The sequence below is a fragment of the Homo sapiens genome, chromosome 5, assembly GCF_000001405.40.
Source record: "Homo sapiens chromosome 5, GRCh38.p14 Primary Assembly".
In the NCBI taxonomy this organism is placed as follows: Eukaryota; Metazoa; Chordata; class Mammalia; order Primates; family Hominidae; genus Homo; species Homo sapiens.
This window is the reverse complement of record NC_000005.10, coordinates 69,897,361-69,921,221: the sequence shown is the minus strand read 5'-3', so window position 1 is coordinate 69,921,221 and position 23,861 is coordinate 69,897,361. Positions and strand designations below refer to the sequence as shown.

Genomic DNA, 23,861 nt, shown 5'->3' with positions numbered 1-23,861 from the left:
CTCCTCTGGAATAATGAGTGTATCCCAAAAGTAAATCCATAATGAGGTCCAGTTTTTCCTTCATCCTTGGCTATGAAATAGACAAGAAAAAGGCAAGCTAGCCATTTCCATCTCACTATAGCAGACTCTCATGTTTGCTTTTTGACCGTACGTGGGAAGCGGGGGCCTGACTGCTTTCCTACTTCCTAAGCACAACTTACTTTTCCTAGGAAATTCTCAACACAACCTACATGGATTAAACCAGGTTCCCCCCTTTGTTTCCAATATTCTTACAGCCAAAATGTCCAGAATGGGCAAGGCAACCTGAAAAAATGAGGACGGGTACATTATCCCATGCGCTAAACTGCCACTTACACTGGTTAGTCATGAAATCGGCAAAATTCCAGATGAGCTCTCCAACCACGTATTTTCTGCGTTTTTGATCCAGACCCAGATGGTACTGCTCTAGCAGACTTTTCCGGTCCTCTTCACTGAACATCAGAGGTGGATCCTGGGATTCAAGGCAAAGAGAATTAAGAGTAAGAACTGGCAGAATTGTAAATGTTAGATAAAAATAAAGATCCACTTGATGGTGACCAAAATATCTGTCCTCACTGGGGGCTGTAGGGACTGCAGGACTCACTGATGCTAGGGTAAAGACAGCCAGGGAGAAATTGGAAATCATCATTCTCAGTAAACTATCGCAAGAACAAAAAAACAAACACCGCATATTCTCACTCATAGGTGGGAATTGAACGATGAGATCACATAGACACAGGAAGGGGAACATCACACTCTGGGGACTGTTGTGGGGTGGGGGGAGGGGGGAGGGATAGCATTGGGAGATATACCTAATGCTAGATGACGAGTTAGTGGGTGCAGCACACCAGCATGGCACATGTATACGTATGTAACTAACCTGCACAATGTGCACATGTACGCTAAAACTTAAAGTATAATAATAATAAAAAAAAATACAAAAAAAGAAACGACAGCCAGGGAATGATGTAACCCAGAATTAAAAAGGAGGTTTAAAAAAAAACCATCAATTAGCAACTGCTTTATTTATAAATATAACCTGATACTCAATTTTTCTTACTTTTCCGTCTCTGTCTGCTGATACAGTCTTAAGGCTGAACTACACTAGAAGGAAAAATATGTCTTTAGGTCAGGCGCGCTGGCTCATGTCTGTCATCCAAGCACTTTGGGAGACCGAGGTGGGAGGACTGCTTGAGCCTAGGAGTTCAAGACTAGCCTACAAAAAGTACAAAAGTTAGCCAAGCATGGAGGCACACACCTGTGGTCCCAGCTACTTGGGAGGCTGAGGTGGGAGGACTGCTTCAGTCCCGGAGGTCAAAGCTGTGGTTTGCACCACTACACTCCAGCCTGGGTGACAGAACAAGACCCTATCTCATGAATGAATGAATGAATGTAAAATGAAATTAAACTAAACCAGGCTGGGCATGGTAGCTCAGGTCTGTAATCCCAGCACTTTGGGAGGTCGAGGCAGGAGGATCACTTGAGCTCAGGAGTTCAAGATCAGCCTAGGCAACACAGTAAAACCCAGTCTCTATAAAAAGGCTAAATATTCGCTAGGTATAGTGGCGCATGACTGTGGCTCCAGCTACTTGGGGGGCCGAGGAGGAAGGATCACTTGAGCCCAGGAGGTTGAGCAGTGAGCTGTGATTACGCCACTGCACTCCAGCCTGGGCAACAGAGTAAGGCTGTCTCAAAAAAAAATTTTTTTTAATTAAACCAGATAAATTCAGTTATCCTAGTCATATATCAAGACCTCAATAGCCACATGTAGCTAGTGGCTACCATTTCAGACAGTGCAGACATGGGGCATTTCCATCATTGCAAAGGTTCTTTTTTGAAACAAGGTCTCACTCTGTCACCCAGGTGGGAGTACAGTGGTGCAATTATGGCGGACTGCAGCCTTGACCTACTGGGCTCAAACAGTCCTCCTACCTCAGCCTCCCAAGTAGCTGGGACTAGAGGCAAGCACGACCATACCCAACTATTTTTTTTTTTTTTTTTTTTTGAGACGGACTCTTGCTCTGTCGCCCAGGCTGGAGTGCAGTGGCACAATCTCGGCTCACTGCAACCTCCACCTCCCCAGTTCAAGCGATTCTCCTGCTTTAGCCTCCTGAGTAGCTGGGATTACAGGTGCATGCCACCACACCCAGCTAATTTCTGTGTTTTCTTAGTAGAGACGGGGTTTCACCATCTTGGTCAGGCTGGACTTGAACTCTTGGCCTCGTGATCCACCCACCTCAGCCTCCCAAAGTGCTGGGATTACAGGCGTCAGCCACTGCACCCAGCCACAACTCATCTTAAATATTTTGTAGAGATGGGGTCCATGTTGTGCAGACTGGTCTCAAACTCCTGGGCTCAAGAGATCCTCTGACCTCGGTCTCCCAAAGGGCTAGCATTCCAGGTGTGAGCCAGCACACCCAGCACTGCAGAGGTTCTATCAATGCTCACCTAGACCCTCTCGAGTTTCTTAAGAATTCAGAACTGGGGCTGGGTATGGTGGCTCATGCCTGTAATTCCAGCACTTTGGGAGGCCAAGGCAGGTGGATCGCTTGAGGTCAAAAGTTCAAGACCAGCCTGACCAACGTGGTGAAACCTCATCTCTACTAAAAAAAAAAAAAAAAAAAAAAAAATTAGGTGAGCATGGTGGTGCATGCCTGTAATCCAAGCTACTTGGGAGGCTGGTGCAGGAGAATTGCTTGAACCTGGGAGGCGGAGGTAGCAGTGAGTCAAGATTGCACCACTACACTCCAGCCTGGGCGACAAGTGAAACTCCTCCTAAAAGGAGAAAGAATTCAGAGCTGGTTACCTTTTCAAAGAGAATGAACAAGGGTGCATATCCACAAATCACTTCCCCCTACTTGACTAGTTTGCAGAAGTGTCATTCTGTAAGCACGATAAATTTAAGGGTGCAAACAGAACAGTGCAGTCCATTGTGGGTGGCTGTTCCCTGTGTGTCAACGGGAGTCCCAGGAGCTGTGCAAAAGAGTGTGAGCTGGCTGGGGAGGGGACAAGGGGCTGGATGGGGTTCAGGAATCCACATGAAAAAAACCCCACAAGACAAAGCAACATATCTTTGGTGAGAAGGACAAAAAATGAGATGGATAAACAAATGAGGACAGGCCAGGCATGGTGGCTCAGGCCTGTAATCCCAGGATTTTGGGACGCGGAAGCAGGCAAATCACTTGACGTCAGGAGCTCAAGACCAGCCTGGCCAACATGGCAAAACCCCACCTCTACAAAAATACAAAAATTAGCTGGGCATGGTGGCAGGTGCCTGTAATCCCAGCTGCTTGGGAGGTTGAGGCAGGACAATCGCTTGAGCCTAGGAAGTGGAGGTTGCAGTGAGCTGAGATCACACCATTGCACTTCAGCCTGGGTGACAGAGTGAGACTCCATCTCAAAAAAAAAAAAAAGACAAAGTGAGTGATTAAACATGGCTCTAAGATCTCACCCATGCCCTCAATAGGTATTATTTAGCATGTACTGTGTCAGCTATTGCAGAGTACCTGGGAAACAACAATAAATAGGACTCCTGTCTCCTGAGCCCACAGTCCGATCAAAGAGAGAGCCAAAGAAATAACAACGGTGCCTGGCGAGAATGTTGGGGGAGCCAGGTTCCGGCTGCAACAGGGCAGAGCACGGGGAAGGTTCCCTCCGCCTGGGGCAGGCAGGGTAAACCTCCCCACAGAGGGGACAGCTATGAGGAGACTCAGATGCCAAATAGGAATCTTTCCAGCCACGTGTCGTGACTCATGCCTGTATTCCCAGTACTTTGGGAGTCCAAGACAGGAGGTGAAGACCAGCCTGATAGCGAGACTCATCTCTACAAAATATTTTAAAACTAGGCTGCACATGGTGGTGCACGCCTGTAGTCCCAGCTACTCAGGAGGCTGAGGCAGGAGAATTGCTTCAGCCCAGGAGTTCGAGGCTGCAGTGAGCTATGATGACACCACCACACTCCAGCCTGGGCAACAGAACAAGACCCTGTCAGGAAAAAAATAAAAAATAAAAAAAGGCTAGCACAGTGGATCACACCTGTTAATCCCAGAACTTTGGGAGGCCAAGGCAAAAAGATCAATTGAGTCCAGGAGTTTGAGACCAGCCTGGGCAACATAGCAAGACCCTATCTCTAAAAAAATAAAAAGAAAAGGATCTTTTAGTTGGTGATTATGGTGCCAACTTGGGCATTCCAGGCAGAAAGAATAGCTCAAGCAAGAGCAGGAGAGCAAATGAGGGCAGTGGAAACAGATCAGTGGCCAGGAGTGAGAAGAGAAGAGGATGAAAACCCAGGAGAGAGCAGAGGACACTGAGTGTCCTGACTAGGGGTTAGGACTTTGTCCTATGGGCCTGGGGGAGCCAATGACAGGACTCAAAAATTTTGATTTGTGGCCGGGCACAGTGGCTCACACCTGTAAATCCCAGCGCTTTGTGAGCCTGAGGCAGGAGGGTCACTTGATCCCAGGAATTCAAGACCAGCCCGGGGAACACAACAACGCCCCATCTCTACAAAAGTAAAAACATTAGCCAGGCATGGTGGCCTGTGCCTATGGTCCCAGATACTCAGGAGGCTGAGGTGGGAAGATCGCTTGGGCCCAGGAGGTTAAGGCTGCAGGGAGCAGTGATCGCACCACCGCACTCCAGCTTGGGTGACAGAGAGAGAGGCGGTCTCAAAAACACATAAAAATTTGGATTTCTTAGAAAGACCACTTGGGCACGGGTGATAGGAGGCTGTCTGGAAACAAGGCCAGTAAGGAGTCCACCTTTGAGGACCAAGCGAGTGGGGCAGAGGCCTGGCTGCTGGTGAGAAGGGAACGTGGACAGGGTAGCGGGAGGTGAGCCCAAAGCTGAAGCAAGGGGAGCACTGCAGTGGGCGCAGGGCAGGGTGGGGGAGGCAAGTGGCATCTCTGCCCAGAGAGAATACACAAGCAGAAAGTTCAACACCGCTTACCTGGTGAAGCCTTACAAGCGTTTCCACTCCATACGCGCTCTGAATAATGGGATTGTGATGTCTTACACCAATTCTCAAACTGGGCGGCCAGCTGCAGCTGAATCAACTCCAGGTGCCCGTAGTTGCGATACCAAGAGTAGTAGCTGTTCACACGGATCACATCCACATACAGAGCCTAGGACCAGAGCAGCAGAGCCCGTTCAGCAACCACAAGACCGCATGACTCAGTACTCACATGCTGTGGGGGCTCCTCTGACAGAGAAGGTAAGAAGGGGATGTAATCCCAGCACTCTGGGAGGCTGAGGCAGGAGGGTGGCTTGTGGCCAGGAGTTCGAGACCAGCCTGGGCAACACAGCAAGACCCCAGCTCTACAAAAAATAGTATCAAGAAAATCAGCACGGCACAGTGGCTCATGCCTGTAATCCCAGCACATTGGGAGGCCAAGGTGGGAGGATCACTTGAGCCCAGGAGTTTGAGACCAGCCTGGGCAACATCGTAGGACTCCATTTCTACAAAACAAAACAAAAAGCCTACAACGGGAAGAGCTGCCTCTCGGGGCTGAGAACATCCAACTGCACCAATTTAGATCCTGAAATTACCCTGCCCCACAAGCAAAAAACATGGTCACAAAGTGGCCCAAAGGAGGCAGGCCTGTGATTGCACACTGACGCTCACGACGTGTGCAGCTGGGAAGGGCTGTGAGAGGCAGAGCAGCTGCCAACACGCAGTCCTCAGCCAAAACCCAGGGCCCCCGCCACTGGAACTGACTCCTCTCCAGGCAGCACTCCCAGCACTGGGCATCCCCTCACCTTGCCCTGGAGAAGCCCTCCCACCCAAGGGGCCAATGCAGTCATTCTCGCAGATAATCTTTTTCCGCTTTGTTTGGAAGACAGAGTCTCGCTCTGTTGCCCAGGCTAGAATGGAGTGGCACAATAATGCAACCTCTGCCTCCCACGATCAAGCGCAGGCGTGGTGGCATGTGCCTGTTATCCCAGCTACTTGGGAGGCTGAGGCAGGAGAATTGCTTGAACCTGGGAGGCGGAGGTTGCACTGAGCTGAGACTGTGCCACTGCACTCCAGCCTGGGCAACAGAGCAAGACTCTATCTTAAAAAAATAATAAAAAATAAAAAAGAATGCTAGTATCAGCCAGGCACGGTGGCTCATGCCTGTAATCCCAGCACTTTAGGAGGCTAAGGCAGGAGGATCACTTGAGCTCAAGAGTTTGAGACTGGCCTGGGCAACATAGTGAGATCCCATCTCTACAAAAACATTTAAAATTAGCCGGGCACAGTGGTGTACACCCGGAGTCCCAGCTACTTGGAAGGCTGAGGCAAGAGGGTTGCTTAGGCCCAGGAATTCAAGGCTGCAGTGAGCTGTGATCACACCACTGCACTCCAGCCAGAGCAACAGAGTAAGACCTTGCCTTCACACACACACACAAAAAAACAAAAAACTCAGGTTCCAACCCTGGAGTTACTAAATCAGGATCTCAGAACGCAGAGATCTGGCATTTCAATAAAACTTCCCCTGGAGATTCTGATCAGCCAGGTTTGGGCCAGATGAACTCTAAGCTCACTTAAACCTTTGACATTTTATGAGTCTATTAAATCGAGTACAAAAAATGCTGAGTCCAAACCGGGCAAACAAATCCCATCTCCCTATGCCCAGCCTCCTTGGATTCAGAAAGCCACACTGCCTGGAGAGTAAGCAGAGAGAGAATTGTCATTAACCCAAAGACCATCTTTGAAAACAGACTGGCTGCGGCTGAGTGCGGTGGCACACGCCTGTAACCCCAGCCCTTTGGAAGGCCGAGGCAGGAGGATCACTTGAGCCCAGGAGTTCGAGACCAGCCTGGGCAACATGGCAAGACCCTGTCTCTATCTTTCTAAGTAAAACAAAATAAAAAGCTCAGACTGGCAGCACATGGTTCTTTCCAGCTGTTCCCATGAGCAGGCTTCAGGACAAGCCCAGGCAAAGGCAGGGAGAAATGGGGTGGGGACCCCCAGGCTCACCCCCTTGTCTGCTGCGTAGGTGGAGTTGGTCACAAAGGTCACAGGCTGGGAGGGGTCCAAGGCTTTGGTGTGAGCAATCACCATCCTGTCCACAAAAGAGAGAAGACACAGGTTCCGTCAGTCCGGGAAAGGCTCAGACACCCTCCCATCCTCTCTGTCCCATCTTCCCCTGCCAGAACACAACTGGGGGCCAGGCACGATGGCTCACGCCTGTAATCCCAGCACTTCAGGAGGCTGAGACAGGCAGATCACTGAGGTCAGGGGTTCAAGAACCGCCTGGCCAACATGGCAAAACCCCATTTCTACTAAATATACAAAAATTAGCCAGGCATAGTGGCACGCATCTGTAACTCCAGCTACTCGGGAGGCTGAGGCACAAGAATTGCTTGAACCCGGGAGGTGGAGGTTGCAGTGAGCCGAAATCACGCTACTGCACTCCAGCCTGGGCCACAGAGCAAGACCCTGCCCCAAAACAAACAAACAAACAAACAAACAAAAAAAAAAAAAGAAAGAAAAAAAAGGAAAAAAAAAAAAAAAAACAAAGCACAGAGCCGCTGCTTTCTTCCCTAACTTGAGATGTATTTTACATAAGGGCACGTTCCTCTAGTCCTAGACCGAGCTCTCTAACAACACTCTTTCTCCCCCACCCCTGAATCCAACTCCCCCAGAGGCGTAGCCACCCTGCCGGGTACACAGAGCTGAGGTCACTGGACTGAACACTGCCAGAAATGAGGTTCACTTCCTGAAATAGCTCTTGAACACAGGAGTGAATGGGCTGTGGATTCAGGTGGAATATTTATTAATGCATCAAGCAAACAGGTAGTGCGAGGTGGGAGGTAGGCATGAGGCTGGGTGCTAGGTGCTCAGTAATGACTCAAATCTAAGTCCACAGGTCCTGGGCAGTGGGAGTGGAGATGCATGCACAGAAAAACGGTGCAAGTGCCAGGCGAGGTGGCTCACGCCTAGAACCCCAGCACTTTGGGAGGCTTACTTGAGACCAGGCGCTTGAGACCAGCCTGGACAACATAGCAAGACCTTGTTTCTACAACAAATTTAAAAATTAGGGCCGGGCATGGTGGCTCAAGCCTGTGAGCACTTTGGGAGGCCAAGGCAGGTGGATCACGAGCTCAAGAGTTCAAGACCAGCCTGGCCAACATGGTGAAACCCCATCTCAAAAAAAAATAAAGAAGAAAACTAGCTGGGCATGGTGGCGTGAGCCTGTAATCCCAGCTACTCGGGAGGGTGAGGCAGGAGAACTGTTTGTACCCAGGAGGTAGAGGATGCAGTGAGCCAAGATCGCAACACTGCTCTCCAGCCTGGGAGACAGAGCAAGACTCTGACTCGTGGGGAAAAAAAAAATATTAAAATTTAGCCTGGCAAGGCAGCGCACGTCTGTGGTCCCAGCTATTTGGGAGGCTGAGTGGGGAGGATCGCTTAAGCCCAGGAGGTCGAGATGGCAACGAGCTATGATTGCACCACTGCACTCCAGCCTGGGCAACAGAGTGAGACCCTGACTCTGAAAAACAAACAATGAAAGAAATGTTGCGAATGGAAATGACAAGTGGTGGCAGGAATTGGGCACTCTATGAGACAACAGACACATCCCCGATTGGAGAGTCAGGGACAGGCTCTTAGAAGAAATGGCCTTTATGCTGAGTCAAGTTAACCAGGAGGGATGAAGGGAAGAGGCTCCCAACAGAGGGACCAGTCCGTGCTCAGAGCTCCCAGCATCTGCCCAAGGCCTCCACAGAACAGACTGTTGTGTTTTTGTTTTGTTTTGTTTTGTTGAGATACAGAGTCTCATTCTGTAGCCCAGGCTGGAATGCAGTGGCATTATCTCAGCTCATTGCAATCTCTGCCTCCTGGTTCACCTGAGGCGATTCTCCTGCCTCAGCCTACCTGGTAGCTGGCATTACAGACGTCCACCACCATGCCCAGCTAATTTTTGTATTTTTAGTAGAGACAGGATTCACTACCTGTTGACCAGGCTGGTCTCGAACTCCTGACCTCGGGTGATCCACCCACCTCAGCCTCCCAAACTGCTGGGATTACAGGCGTGACCCACCGCATCCGGCCTAGACCGTTGTTGAAGCTGGTTTTCTTCTTCTTTCCTCAGTTCTTTTCTTTTACATCTTCCCCCCATCATTGCTCTGCCCATCCGAAGGCTGTGGCTGGCACAGGACAGAATAGAACCTCCTAGCCTCAAGTTCCAAACCCACACTCTCCAATAGCCAGGCTCTCAGATGGGAAGCTTCAAAGCCTTGTGACAGCCTGGCTGAACCTCTCCAGCCTGGGCCCTCCCTCCATTTCCTGCCCCGGAAACAGGCATCTCCTCTGGCCACCTCCCAAAGCCTGTCTGGAAGCCTCAGGCACCCGCTCCTGGAAGCCTGTACGATTCACAACAAACGGCCTGTCCACCCAGTCGTGCTGAGCACACCCCTATTCCCCCGAGCTCTGAATTGTCCTTTGCCCAGGCTAGGACAACATCTCAGAGCCTTCTGCCTGCTGCAGACTCGGCTCAGCCCAAATCACTCCATGAAATTGGGGTGTGGCATCTGCCTCAAGGAGCATTTCTACAACCTCTGCTGCCTCTACCGCAAATGAAACTGGCTCTCACCCACTGGCTCTCGGTGACGGGCACAGTGCGGAGCCCCACAGGGAGTGTGTAGAAGTCAAAGGCCCCAGTGACTTCTGTGCAGTCAGCCGCACCTACGACAGCCAAAGCGCCAGGTGTGAGCGCCCCGACAGCCTGAGCCCCATCTGGCCTGCCCTACAGCAGGAAGACCCCTCGTGCATGCACCCCAGAAGTCGCCACTGGGCCTGCAGAGAAGCAGCAATCAGAGGCTCTGCCCTTCACTGGCTGACCCTGGGACCTGCCCTTCAAAATCAGGCCTTCTCCTTGACCAGACGAGGTGGCTCATGCCTGGAATCCCTACACCTTGGGAGGCTAAGGCAGGAGGATCACCTGAGTCCAGGAGTTCAAGACCAGCCTGGGCAACCTAGTAAGACCCCAACTCTATAAAAAGGAGTTTTTTTTTTTGAGACAGTCTCACTCTGTCACCCAGGATAGAGTGCTGCGGCATGATCTCAATTCACCGCGGCCCCTGCCTCCTGGGTTCAAGCAATTCCCCTGCCTCAGCCTCCCGAGTAGCTGGGATTACAGACGTGCACCATCATGCCCTGCAAATTTTCATATTTTAGTAGAGACGGGGTTTCACCATGTTGGCCAGGCTGGTCTCCAACTCCTGGCCTAAAGTGATCTGCCCGCGTCAGCCTCCCGAAGTGCTGGGATTACAGGTGTGAGCCACCATGCCCGGCCTACAAAAAAAATTTTTTTAATTAGCCAGGCATGGTGGCATGTGCCTGTAGTCCCAGCTACTCAGGAGGCCAAGGTAGGAGGATTGCAGCTCAAAGCTGCAGTGAGCTGTGATCAGGCCATTGCATTCCAGCCTGGGTGACAGAGTGAGACCATCACAAAAACAAACAAACAAACAAACAAACAAACAAATAAATAAATAAATAAATAAATAAAAAATCTGGGCCTCCCACCAAGGGTGGGAAACATCAGAAAGCTCAGAGGACCACACCTGCCCGTTCACCTGTCCTGGGCTCCTGCTGAAGCCAGGGCTACCAGATGGGGGCAAAAGACCTCCCTTACGCAAGTCCCAAACCACCATTACCTCCCACGAGTACAGGGAGGCGGGGTGTTCGTGCATCAGGTACGGCCACCAGAGGTTGGCACCCAGCACCTTCAGCTGGCCCTGGGTCCCAGCCTGGTTGTCCACGACTTTGTTTTCTGCATTCAAAAGACACACTTCCAACTTGAACTGGTTACTGCACTTGACGGAGATCTGGTAATTCACCAGCCCTGCAGGAGGCAAGAGAGACCAGGGCTTAGGGAGGGACATGACCTGGGTCACACAAACGGGAAGGCCCCACAATGACCACTCCCAGGCACTCTCATTTGCTTCTGTTGCTTTTTTTTTTTTTTTTTTGAGATAGAATCTCGCTCTGTCACCCAGGCTGGAGTGCAGTGGCATGATCTGGACTCACTGAAACCTCTGCCTCCCAGGTTCAAGTGATTCTCCTGCCTCAGCCTCTGGAATAGCTGGGATTACAGGCACCTGCCACCACATCCAGCTAATTTTTGTATTGTTAGTAGAGACGGGGTTTCACCACATTAGCCAGGATGGTCTTGATCTCCTGACCTCGTGATCCGCCTGCCTCGGCCTCCCAAAGTGCTGGGATTACAGGCTTGAGCCACCGTGCCCGGCCCTGAACCAATGCGCCCAGCCCGCTTTTAATTTAATTTTTTAATTTTTTTTTTTTTTTTTTTTTTTTTTTTGAGATGGAGTCTCACTGTCACCCAGGCTGGAGTGTAGTGCTGCGATCCTGACTCGCTGCAACCTCCACCTCTGGAGTTCAGGTGATTCTCCTGCCTCAGCCTTCCGAGTACCTGGGAATACAGGAATGCACCACCATGCCCGGCGAATTTTTCTATTTTCAGTAGAGACGGAGTTTTGCCATGTTGGCCAGGCTGGTCTCGAACTCCTGAACTCAGGTGATCCACCCGCCTCAGTCTCCCAATAGATTACATATATTATTAATGAATTGCTTCCTTTAACACCCTATTCATTGAATTTTCCAGTAAACCACAATTACTAATTACTCCTGAAATCAGAAAAGAGGTTAAAAAGATTTTATAACAGTATCCTATGAAATCTACTACTTTCAAGTAATAGTAGTTGAATTACCAAAACCCGTCACTCAAGCCAATGACTACAATTAAGATATGAGTAACATTTCCTAGATAAATAAAGTCAATTAATTATATTTGCATCTGGGAAATAGAGAAAGTACATATAAGCCATGATTTTGAAGTCAAAAGAGAGAGAATATTTGCCAAGGAGGGGTGAGTTATAGTATGTAATTATAACATACAGAAGTTTTTTGTATGCTGGTAACTAATTTTAATTTCCTACATTTTTATGTAGATTTCTGCTATTCTTGTCCTATTTTCCTAATCATCTTTCTATATGAATGACTACATAATTCTGAGAATACCAAAAGAGACAGACACAGAACCAATCGGATTCCTTTCTTCTTGAAGCTTCTGCACAGCAAAAGAAACTATCAACAGAGTGAACAGACAACCTACAGAATGGGAGAAAATTTTTGCAACAATGCATGTGACAAAGATCTAATGTCCAACACTGATAAGGAACTTAAACAAATTTACAAGAAAAAAAAAAATCTCATTAGAAAGTGGGCACAGGACATAAACAGACACTTCAAAAGAAGACACACATGCGGCCAACAAGCATATGAGAAAAAGCTCAATATCACTGATCATTAGAGAAATGCAAATCAAAACCACAATGGCATACCATCTCACACCAGTCAGTATGGTTATTATTAAGAAGTCAACGCCGGGCATGGTGGCTCACGCCTATAATCCCAGCACTTCAGGAGGCCAAGGCAGGCAGATCGCATGAGGTCAGGAGTTCCAGACCAGCCTGGACAACCTGGCGAAACCCCGTCTCTACTAAAAATACAAAAATTAGCCCAGCGTGGTGGCGGGTGCCTGTAATCCCAGCTACTCAGGATGCTGAGGCAGGAGAATCGCCTGAACCCGGGAGGCAGAGGTTGTAGTGAGCCGAGATCATACCACTGCACTCTCCAGCTTAGGTGACAGAGCGAGACTCTGTCTCAAAAAAAAAAAAAAATATTTGAATTTTGTTTAAATCGCTAACACATACTGGGCATTTAATAACAAAAAAAAAAGGACATGAGATTGTGATCCTTATGAAGGTTTGAGAGGCATTTCACTAGGGTTCAACATACAGCAGTCTGAAACATACTGTAATAATTTAATCCAATGGCTCATCTACAGCACCTAAAAAGATTACAGCAGATTCTCATTATTCAGTGTAGTTACGGTCTAGAAAGTTCCATGAACAAATAAAAAGTTAGGTTTCAGCAAGCTACTGGTCACACTTTTGTAAGCTTACCAACACCTACTTTTGTTGTATGTGTGCTTATTTAATATATATTGTTGGCCAGGCACAGTGGCTAACGCCTGTAATCCCAGCACTTTGCGAAGCCAAGGCGGGCAGATCATTTGAGGTCTGGAGTTCGAGACCAGCCTGGCCAACGTGGTGAAACCCCGTCTCTACTAAAACTACAAAAAAAAAAAAAAAAAAAAAAATTAGCCAGGCATGGTGGCGCATGCCTGTAGTCTTAGCTACTTGGGAGGCTAAGGCAGGGGAATCGCTTGAACCCAGGAGGCAGAGGTTGCAGTGAGCCAAGACTGCACCACTGCACTCCAGCCTGAGCAACAGAGTGAGACTCTATCTCAAAAAAAATAATAATAATAATTAATTAAATGAAGAATAAATAAATAATATACATTGTTCATTCATTAACATTGAACTCACAGCCAACGGCACTACAGCACTCACGCCTGAATGGAGTTTATTTAATGCATGTATTTTCTCTGTAAGACACATCACAGACTTCTTGGACTTGTGAATGCTAAGCAGCACTTCAGCACTATGCTTGGGGGTTAATTTAAATGGCAAAACAACCAACAAACAGCACAAAAACAGGAAAAGCATGGCATTAAATAGACCACAAAAAGGATACCTGACTATTGTATGAGAGCTGAAAAAGAAGGCAGAATATCATCCTGTTCAAACTCAAATTCTTTGACACTCTGCGCAAACACATGACTATGAAAGTGCTGTGAGTACTGATTTGGGGGTTACAAAAAATAGTAGGTGAGTTCACAAATACAAAAGCTGAAAACAAGGAGGATCGACTGTATTTTCGTAGACAATCTAATCTCAGAAGATTTCAGTTCAGACAAAAATCATGATAATTACTGTATTACAAAAGGGCACTAGATAGGGGGAAAAGAGTAAAAATCACAATTAAAACAAAGGTTCAAAATTCTGCAGCAACCATATCCAGTTACACTTTAATATGTTTGTGGCAGACTACATTATTGTTCCCAACTCATCACCCCTCCCTATATCTAAAACCTTTCCCCAAGACAATGCAGTTCCTCCTGCTAGAGATCAGGTATATTTATCTATACTATCAATGTTAGCCATGGACAAGGTATGTGCTTTGGCTGACTGAATGTTAGTGGACATGAGAGAAGCAATGGCTTAAAATGTACTTCCAGAACTGGAGTTTCCTTGTGATTCTATCACTGTGACAAAAACACATTCTCAGGTAGTCCACTGATCCAAGGGGGAACAAACACACAGAAAACATACCTAGACTCTATCTGCAGCTTGCAGCCTCACCAAGCCAAGAACAGTCAACTCACAGATATGTTAGCAAAAATAAATGTTTTTCATACCTTAAGTTTTATATAATTATTGACCTACAGTTAACTGATATACAATATACATTAATCTTAAAATATCATTATCCCATTAAAAATACTTACATTAAAAACTGAGACCACTTTCTTTCCTTTTTTTTTTTTTTTTTTTTAATTAAGAGACAGGGTGTCTCAATGTTGCCCAAGCTGGAGTTCAGTGGCTAGTGGCTATTCACAAGAACGATCATCGCACACTACCTCAAACTCCTGGGATCAAGCAATCCTCCTGCCTCAGCTTTCCAAGTCGCTGGGACTATAAGTGTGTACCACAGCATGTCAGCTCTCTCTCTCCTTCTTGACCTAAAGCCTAGCATAAAATTAGCTAAGTAGAATGTTTCCAAAGATGCCTGCATCAGTATCTCCCATCCCACATAATTTCTGTTTGATTTTGCCATTCACCCATAAAATGGTGGGATCTACCTCCCCTCCTTGCAAATTTGAGCTGGCCCTCTGATCCTGTCTAAGATCTGAAGCCAGATATTAAGGTACTTCATTAATTTCCATGTTTGTCCTCTATGCAACCTAGCAATCAAGCAAGAAGTCAAAACATACTGACATAGTTTGGATGGGTCCCCACCCAAATCTCACCTTGCATTGTAATAATTCCCACGTGTCAAGGGTGGGGCCGGGTGCAGATAACTGAATCATGGGGATGGTTCCCCCCATACTGTTCTCGCGGTAGTGACTAAGTCTCATGAGATCTGATGGTTTTATAAATGGGAGCTCCCCTGCACATGCTCTCTCCTGCCTGCCACTATGTGAGACATGCTTTTGCACCTCCTTGCCTTCCACCATGATTGTGAGGCCTCCCCAGCCATGCAGAACTGTGAGTCAATTCAACCTCTTTCCTTTATAAATTACCCAGTCTCAGGTATGTCTTTATTTGCGGTGTGAGAACAGACTAATACAATAAGTTGATACCAGTAGAGTGGGGTGCTGCTGTAAAGATACCCGAAAATGTGGAAGCAACTTTGGAAATGGGTAACAGGGAGAGGCTGGAACAGTTTGGAAGGCTCAGAAGAGGATAGGAAAATGTGGGAAAGTTTGGAACTTCCTAGAGACTTGTTGAATGGCTTTGACCAAAATGTTAATAGTGATATGGACAACAAGGTCCAGGCGGAGGTGGTCTCAGAGGCAGATGAGGAATTTGTTGGGAAATGGAGTAAAGTCACTCTTACTATGCAAAGACACTGCAGGCATTGTGCACCTGTATTAGAAACGGGCATAAGATAGGCGGGAAAGAGGGAAAATAAGAATTTCTTTCTAGAGTTCCCTACAGATCTGTGGAACTTTGAACTTGAGAGAGATGATTTAAGGTATCTGACAGAAGAAATTTCTAAGCAGCAAAGCATTCGAGAAGAAGCAGAGCATAAAAGTTCAGAAAATTTGTAGCCTGATGATGCAACAGAAAAGAAAAATCTATTTTCTCAGGAGACTGGGTTGTAGAAATTTGCATAAGTAATGAGGAGCCAAATGTTAATCACCAAGACAATGGGGCAAATGTCTCCAGGGCATGTTAGAGACCCTCACAGCAGACCCTCCCATCACAGGCCAGGAGGCTTAGAAGGAAAAATGGTTTTGTGGGTCCAGAACCCCCTGCTGTGTGCAGCCTAGGAACTTGGGGCCCTGCATCCCAGCTGCTCCTGCCATAGATAAAAGGGGCCAAGGTACACCTCAGGCCATGGCTTCAGAGGGTGCAAGTTCCAAGCCTTTCAGGTTCTAGGTGGTGTTAAGCCTGCAGATGCACCAAAGTCAAGAATTAACGTTCATGAACCTCCGCCTACATTTCAGAAGATGTATGAAAATGCCTGGAAATCCAGGCAAAAGTTTGCTGTGGGGGGGAGGGGAGGGGGGGGCCCTCATGGATAACCTCTGCTAGGGCAGTGTCAAAGGGAAATATGGGGTTGGAGCTCCCACACAGAGTCCCCACTGGGGTACTGCCAAGCAGAGCTGTGAGAAAAGGGCCACCATCCTCCAGACCCCAGAATGGTAGATCCACTGACAGCTTGCACTGTGTGCCTGGAAAAGCTGCAGACACTCAATGCAGCCAGAAGGGGGGCTGTACCCTGCAAAGCCACAGGGGCGGGGCTGCCCAAGACCCTGGGAACCCACTTCTTGCATCACCTAGATGTGACACATGGAGTCAAAGGAGGTCATTTTGGAGCTTTAAGATTTGCCTGCTGGGTTTTGGACTTGCATGGGGCCTGTAGCTCTTTTGCTTTGGCCAATTTCTCCCATTTGAAACGAGTGTATTTACCCAATGCCTGTATCCCTGTGTATCTAGAAAATAACTAACTTGCTTTTGATTTTACAGGCTCATAGGTGGAAGGGACTTGCCTTGTCTCAGATGAGACTTTGGACTATGGAATTTTGAGTTAATGCTGAAATAAGAGTTTGGGGGACTTAGGGGAAGGCATGATTGCTTTTGAAATATGAGGACATGAGATTTGGGAGGGGCCGGGGAAGAATTATATGGTTTGGCTCTGTCCGCACCCAAATCTCATCTTGAATTGTAACAATTCCCATGTGTCAAGGGTGGGGCCAGGTGGAGATAACTGAATCATGGAGGCAGTTTCCCCCATGCTGTTCTCATGGTAGTGAATAAGTCTCATGAGGTCTGATGGTTTTATAAATGGATGTTCCCCTGCACATGCTCTCTCCTGCCCACCATGTCTGACTAAATTTTGTATTTTTACTAGAGACGGGCTTTCACTATGTTGGCCAGGCTGGCCTCCAACTCCTGATCTCGTGATCCGTCCACCCCGACCTCCCAAAGTGCTAGGATCATAGGCATAAGCCACCACACCCGGCCTCTTTTTTTTCTTTTTCTTTTTTTTATCTGGAGACTGAGTTTTGCACTCGTTGCCCAGGCTGGAGTGCAATGGTGCGATCTCAGCTCACTGCAGTCTCCACCTCAGCAGGAGAGCAGGAATCTTCAGTGATCCACGGGCAAATATGCAGCCATTGTGGGCACCTGTTCCTCCCGCGACCTTTGTGCCCACGTCTCTCCCTCCAGTACCTACTGCACGACCCCCCACGTCCGCCTCCTGCCATTGCCAGCAGGTGCCTTGCGCGGGTACCTGGCTGTGCTTATTCATCCATTATGGTCGCTCTGTCACTGGTGCCATTATGTGCTCACATGCCCACTCCCTCAGGTTTAGAAGTCGCGTTGCCCGGCAACAGAACAATCTGCTGGCTTAGCCTTTGGCCAAGTTGGCAGCTGGACGAGGACGCTCAGAGCCCAGCTCTTGAGAGTTCAAGTATCCGACAGTTCCCCACTGCTCCCAGGAGCGGTTACCCGGGCACTCTGTGCCCCTCATTCCTGTTTGGGCCAAGGCCGAGGACCTGCGAGTAGGGCTCAGTTGCCTGGAGCCCCTTCAGCCCATCCCCCAGTTCACTTTGCTTGTGGGATCTCCCCGTTGCTCCTGCCCCTGGACTGAGTGGCAGGCCATCCTACAAACACCCGCACACTCGACATCAGTGGTGTCAAGACAACTCTAAGAAGGTTTTCCGTGATCCTGCAAGACCTGTGTTCCATCCTGGTGATTCTGTCTTCAATTTCACTGCACAGGTACCACAGTAAGCCAGTGCTGTGTGCTCCGAGTTCCAGGGCATCCCCCAGCTCAGCCACTACACTGAGCACAAGGACTCTGTGGGGCCCAGGAGCAGGTAGTCACCCCTTTGGGGTCCACAACACCCGGCTGTCCCCAGACTTGTGTCCAGGGAAGATAGTGTTGAGGGCCCTCAAGGAGAGCGGGGCAGGGATGCCTGAGCAGGACAAGGACCCCAGAGTCCAAGAAAATCCTGATGATCAGAGAACGGTCCCCGAGGTCACCGGGGATGCACGGTCTGCATTTTGGCCCCTGCGGGACAATGGAGGCCCCTCTCCCTTTGTGCCCAGGCCCGGGCCTCTGCAGACAGACCTCCACGCCCAGAGCTCAGAAATCAGATATAACCACACATCCCAGACATCCTGGACGAGCTCGAGCACCAAACGAAATGCCATCTCCAGCTCCTACAGCTCCACGGGAGGCTTGCCGGGGCTAAAGCAGAGGAGGGGGCCAGCCTCATCCCGCTGCCAGCTGACCCTCAGTTACTCAAAGACAGTGAGTGAGGACAGGCCTCAGGCTGTCTCTTCGGGTCACACACGGTGTGAAAAGGGGGCAGATACAGCACCAGGGCAGACAATCGCCCCAACGGGTGGCTCCCCCAGATCCCAGGACTCTAGGCCCCGTAGACGCAAGATTCCCCTGCTGCCACGCAGGCGAGGGGAGCCTTTGATGCTGCCACCTCCCTTAGAGCTGGGGTACCGGGTCACGGCTGAAGACCTGCACCTGGAAAAAGAGACGGCATTCCAGCGCATCAACAGTGCACTGCACGTTGAGGACAAGGCCATCCCGGACTGCAGACCCTCACGGCCTTCCCACACTTTGTCCTCACTTGCAACAGGGGCTTCGGGTGGGCCTCCCGTTTCTAAAGCACCCACTATGGATGCACAGCAGGACAGACCCAAGTCCCAAGACTGCCTGGGCCTAGTGGCCCCCCTAGCATCTGCTGCAGAGGTCCCCGCTACAGCTCCCGTGTCTGGGAAGAAGCACAGACCACCAGGACCCCTGTTCTCCTCCTCAGATCCCCTTCCTGCCAACTCTTCCCACTCCCGGGACTCAGCCCAGGTCACCTCGATGATTCCTGCCCCCTTCACAGCTGCAAGCAGGGATGCCGGCATGAGAAGAACAAGGTCGGCTCCTGCAGCTGCCGCAGCAGCCCCTCCCCCCTCCACATTGAACCCCACGTCGGGGTCACTACTCAATGCAGTGGATGGAGGCCCCTCACATTTCTTGGCCTCAGCCACAGCTGCAGCACGTGCCCAGAGGTCAGAAGTGAGATATAACCAGAGATCCCAGACCTCCCGGACCAGATCCTGCCTCAAACGAAATGCCAGCTCCAGCTCCCACAGCTCTACGGAAGGCCTCCAGGAAGTAAAGCGGAGGAGGGGGCCAGCCTCATCCCACTGCCAGCTGGCCCTCAGTTCCTCAAACACAGTGAGTGAGGACGGACCTCAGGCTGTCTCTTCGGGTCACCACTGTGAAAACAAGGCAGGTACAGCACCAGGGCAGACACTTGCCCCCAGGGGTGGCTCCCCCAGATCCCAGGCCTCTAGGCCCCACATCAACACTGCACTGCACGTTGAGGACAAGGCCATCTCGGACTGCAGACCCTCACGGCCTTCCCACACTTTGTCCTCACTTGCAACAGGGGCTTCGGGTGGGCCTCCCGTTTCTAAAGCACCCACTATGGATGCACAGCAGGACAGACCCAAGTCCCAAGACTCCCTGGGCCTACTGGCCCCCCTAGCATCTGCTGCAGAGGTCCCCTCTACAGCTCCCGTGTCTGGGAAGAAGCACAGACCACCAGGACCCCTGTTCTCCTCCTCAGATCCCCTTCCTGCCACCTCTTACCACTCCCGGGACACAGCACAGGTCACCTCGCTGATTCCTGCCACCTTCACAGCTGCAAGCAGGGATGCCGGCATGAGAAGAACAAGGTCGGCTCCTGCAGCTGCCACAGCAGCCCCTCCCCCCTCCACATTGAACAACACGTCGGGGTCACTACTCAATGCAGTGGATGGAGGCCCCTCACATTTCTTGGCCTCAGCCACAGCTGCAGCACGTGCCCAGAGGTCAGAAGTGAGATATAACCAGAGATCCCAGACCTCCCGGACCAGATCCTGCCTCAAACGAAATGCCAGCTCCAGCTCCAGCTCCCACAGCTCTACGGAAGGCCTCCAGGAACTAAAGCGGAGGAGGGGGCCAGCCTCATCCCACTGCCAGCTGGCCCACAGTTCCTCAAACACAGTGAGTGAGGACGGACCTCAGGCTGTCTCTTCGGGTCACCGCTGTGAAAACAAGGCAGGTACAGCACCAGGGCAGACACTCGCCCCCAGGGGAGGCTCCCCCAGATCCCAGGCCTCTAGGCCCCACATCAACAGTGCACTGTACGTTGAGGACAAGGCCATCTCGGACTGCAGACCCTCACGGCCTTCCCACACTTTGTCCTCACTTGCAACAGGGGCTTCGGGTGGGCCTCCCGTTTCTAAAGCACCCACTATGGACGCACAGCAGGACAGACCCAAGTCCCAAGACTGCCTGGGCCTAGTGGCCCCCCTAGCATCTGCTGCAGAGGTCCCCTCTACAGCTCCCGTGTCTGGGAAGAAGCACAGACCACCAGGACCCCTGTTCTCCTCCTCAGATCCCCTTCCTGCCACCTCTTCCCACTCCCGGGACTCAGCCCAGGTCACCTCGCTGATTCCTGCCACCTTCACAGCTGCAAGCAGGGATGCCGGCATGAGAAGAACAAGGCCTGGCACCTCGGCTCCTGCAGCTGCCGCAGCAGCCCTTCCCCCCTCCACATTGAACCCCACGTCGGGGTCGCTACTCAATGCAGTGGATGGAGGCCCCTCACATTTCTTGGCCTCAGCCACAGCTGCAGCACGTGCCCAGAGGTCAGAAGTGAGATATAACCAGAGATCCCAGACCTCCCGGACCAGATCCTGCCTCAAACGAAATGCCAGCTCCAGCTCCCACAGCTCTACGGAAGGCCTCCAGGAACTAAAGCGGAGGAGGGGGCCAGCCTCATCCCACTGCCAGCTGGCCCACAGTTCCTCAAACACAGTGAGTGAGGACGGACCTCAGGCTGTCTCTTCGGGTCACCGCTGTGAAAACAAGGCAGGTACAGCACCAGGGCAGACACTCGCCCCCAGGGGTGGCTACCCCAGATCCCAGGCCTCTAGGCCCCGCATCAACAGTGCACTGCACGTTGAGGACAAGGCCATCTCGGACTGCAGACCCTCACGGCCTTCCCACACTTTGTCCTCACTTGCAACAGGGGCTTCGGGTGGGCCTCCCGTTTCTAAAGCACCCACTATGGACGCACAGCAGGACAGACCCAAGTCCCAAGACTGCCTGGGCCTACTGGCCCCCCTAGCATCTGCTGCAGAGGTCTCCTCTACAGCTCCCGTGTCTGGGAAGAAGCACAGACCACCAGGACCCCTGTTCTCCTCCTCAGATCCCCTTCCTGCCACCTCTTCCCACTCCCGGGACTCAGCCCAGGTCACCTCGCTGATTCCTGCCACCTTCACAGCTGCAAGCAGGGATGCCGGCATGAGAAGAACAAGGCCTGGCACCTCGGCTCCTGCAGCTGCCGCAGCAGCCCTTCCCCCCTCCACATTGAACCCCACGTCGGGGTCGCTACTCAATGCAGTGGATGGAGGCCCCTCACATTTCTTGGCCTCAGCCACAGCTGCAGCACGTGCCCAGAGGTCAGAAGTGAGATATAACCAGAGATCCCAGACCTCCCGGACCAGATCCTGCCTCAAACGAAATGCCAGCTCCAGCTCCCACAGCTCTACGGAAGGCCTCCAGGAACTAAAGCGGAGGAGGGGGCCAGCCTCATCCCACTGCCAGCTGGCCCACAGTTCCTCAAACACAGTGAGTGAGGACGGACCTCAGGCTGTCTCTTCGGGTCACCGCTGTGAAAACAAGGCAGGTACAGCACCAGGGCAGACACTCGCCCCCAGGGGTGGCTACCCCAGATCCCAGGCCTCTAGGCCCCGCATCAACAGTGCACTGCACGTTGAGGACAAGGCCATCTCGGACTGCAGACCCTCACGGCCTTCCCACACTTTGTCCTCACTTGCAACAGGGGCTTCGGGTGGGCCTCCCGTTTCTAAAGCACCCACTATGGATGCACAGCAGGACAGACCCAAGTCCCAAGACTGCCTGGGCCTACTGGCCCCCCTAGCATCTGCTGCAGAGGTCTCCTCTACAGCTCCCGTGTCTGGGAAGAAGCACAGACCACCAGGACCCCTGTTCTCCTCCTCAGATCCCCTTCCTGCCACCTCTTCCCACTCCGGGGACTCAGCCCAGGACACCTCGCTGATTCCTGCCCCCTTCACACCTGCAAGCAGGGATGCCGGCATCAGAAGAATGTTTCGTGTTCGAAACTGTTTGAGGGGTTTGGGTTTATTTTTGTTGGTTTTTTCTTTTTTTTTTTTGCTTACGTGGGCATCCTTCAGCTTTTAATAATCTGAAAAATTCTATTTACCCATTGTCAATGTGTATAAATTAATCTCAGTCAATTTTATACAATAAAAGGTGAACTTTTATCCATCAAACAATAATTTAACAAAAAATGTACCGGAAGAAGAATGTTCATTACAAATATAGGAAACATAAATATTACCAAATATTGGCAAGCACTAAAATGTTCAGAAATATAAGTCTATTACAGTTATAGCTCTCTCAAGCAAAAAAACAGCAGAGAAAAACTTAGTTTTCCTGAGGGGCTATTTATTTACTTAGGGATTTGTTAAAAGGTCAAATGGGGTCACACAGAATACTAAGAAGAGCTGTTCACCCAGGCCTCACTAAGAACTCTTCTTCATGCAGTAGCTATATAGTAATATGACAACTGCTCCTACGACCCAAAGAGGAACTACAGCAACTACTCTTTAGCATCTGTTGCTCCCAACTCTGCTTTGCAATTATATGACTCAAGCATTCTGGCTCCGTTAACTATTACTGCTGTTACTCCCAAGTAAATTCCCTCTAAAAAATAAAAATTTTTAAAGCTGTAATTTAAGCTCTCTGCTGCCTCATGACTTCAATTCCATCAGAGTTACGCATTGTTTCCTCTGTACATCTTTGCTCTGCTTCCATTGCTAATTCCCTAGTAAAGTGTTGTATATTCAAAGTTCCAAAGAAACAGAATATCCAAGACATCACCAATCATCCAAAACACAGTGTAGGAGGCCACAGTTAAGAGAAGCAACACCATTAGCTCTTTTTATAGGCTCGAGAACAACAGGATGCTTTGGTCCTGTATCAGCAGGACGCTTTTTGGGTAGATCCTACTGCCACCCTACTATCGGGTAGATCCTACTGTCACCCTAGCTATGGGCACATGTCAGAGTCCCATGTAATAAAGGAGACAAAAGGAAACCACCACGAGTATAAACTAAGAAAAGTACTCCAAGGTTTCTAAGAATGGAGCTGTATAACTCACTTTGCCCCATTTGTTACTTCTCCACGGTACTTACCACCACCTATTACATATATTTTGTTTATAGTCAGTCTTCCCCCATTAGAATGAAAGTTCCGTGAGGATAGGACTATACAGTCAGCCCTCAGTATCCATGGGGGACTGGTTTCAGGATCTCCTGAGGGTAACAAAGGATACTCAAGTCCCTGATATAAAATGACATAGTATTTGCACATCACCTTTGCACATCCTCCCATATACTTCATATCAACTCTAGATCACTCATAATATCCGATGTAAATGTCATGCAAATAGTTATTGTACTATATTGTGTAAGGAATAAGGACAAGAAAAAAGTCTGTACATGTTCAGTACAGACGCAATTTTTTTTTCCAATATTTCCAATCCTTGGTTGCCTTAACGGATGTAGAACCCAGGAATAAGTTCTGG

At 49.9% G+C, this 23,861-nt stretch overlaps 1 protein-coding gene and 2 pseudogenes across 1 annotated transcript; 1 reads left to right on the top strand and 2 right to left on the bottom strand.

The window, feature by feature from the left end:
- Nucleotides 355-10,848, bottom strand: GUSBP13 (GUSB pseudogene 13; annotated as a pseudogene).
- LOC124900996 (uncharacterized) lies at nt 10,677-19,430 on the bottom strand. Its single transcript, XM_047417975.1, has 2 exons — nt 17,453-19,430; nt 10,677-10,847 (listed from the first exon to the last, which is right to left on the bottom strand). Exon 1 carries the CDS (start codon nt 19,096-19,098, stop codon nt 18,514-18,516), a length of 585 nt encoding a protein of 194 aa, XP_047273931.1. The 5' UTR covers nt 19,099-19,430; the 3' UTR covers nt 10,677-10,847; nt 17,453-18,513.
- On the top strand, nt 17,813-23,007 carry LOC728506 (POM121 membrane glycoprotein (rat) pseudogene; annotated as a pseudogene).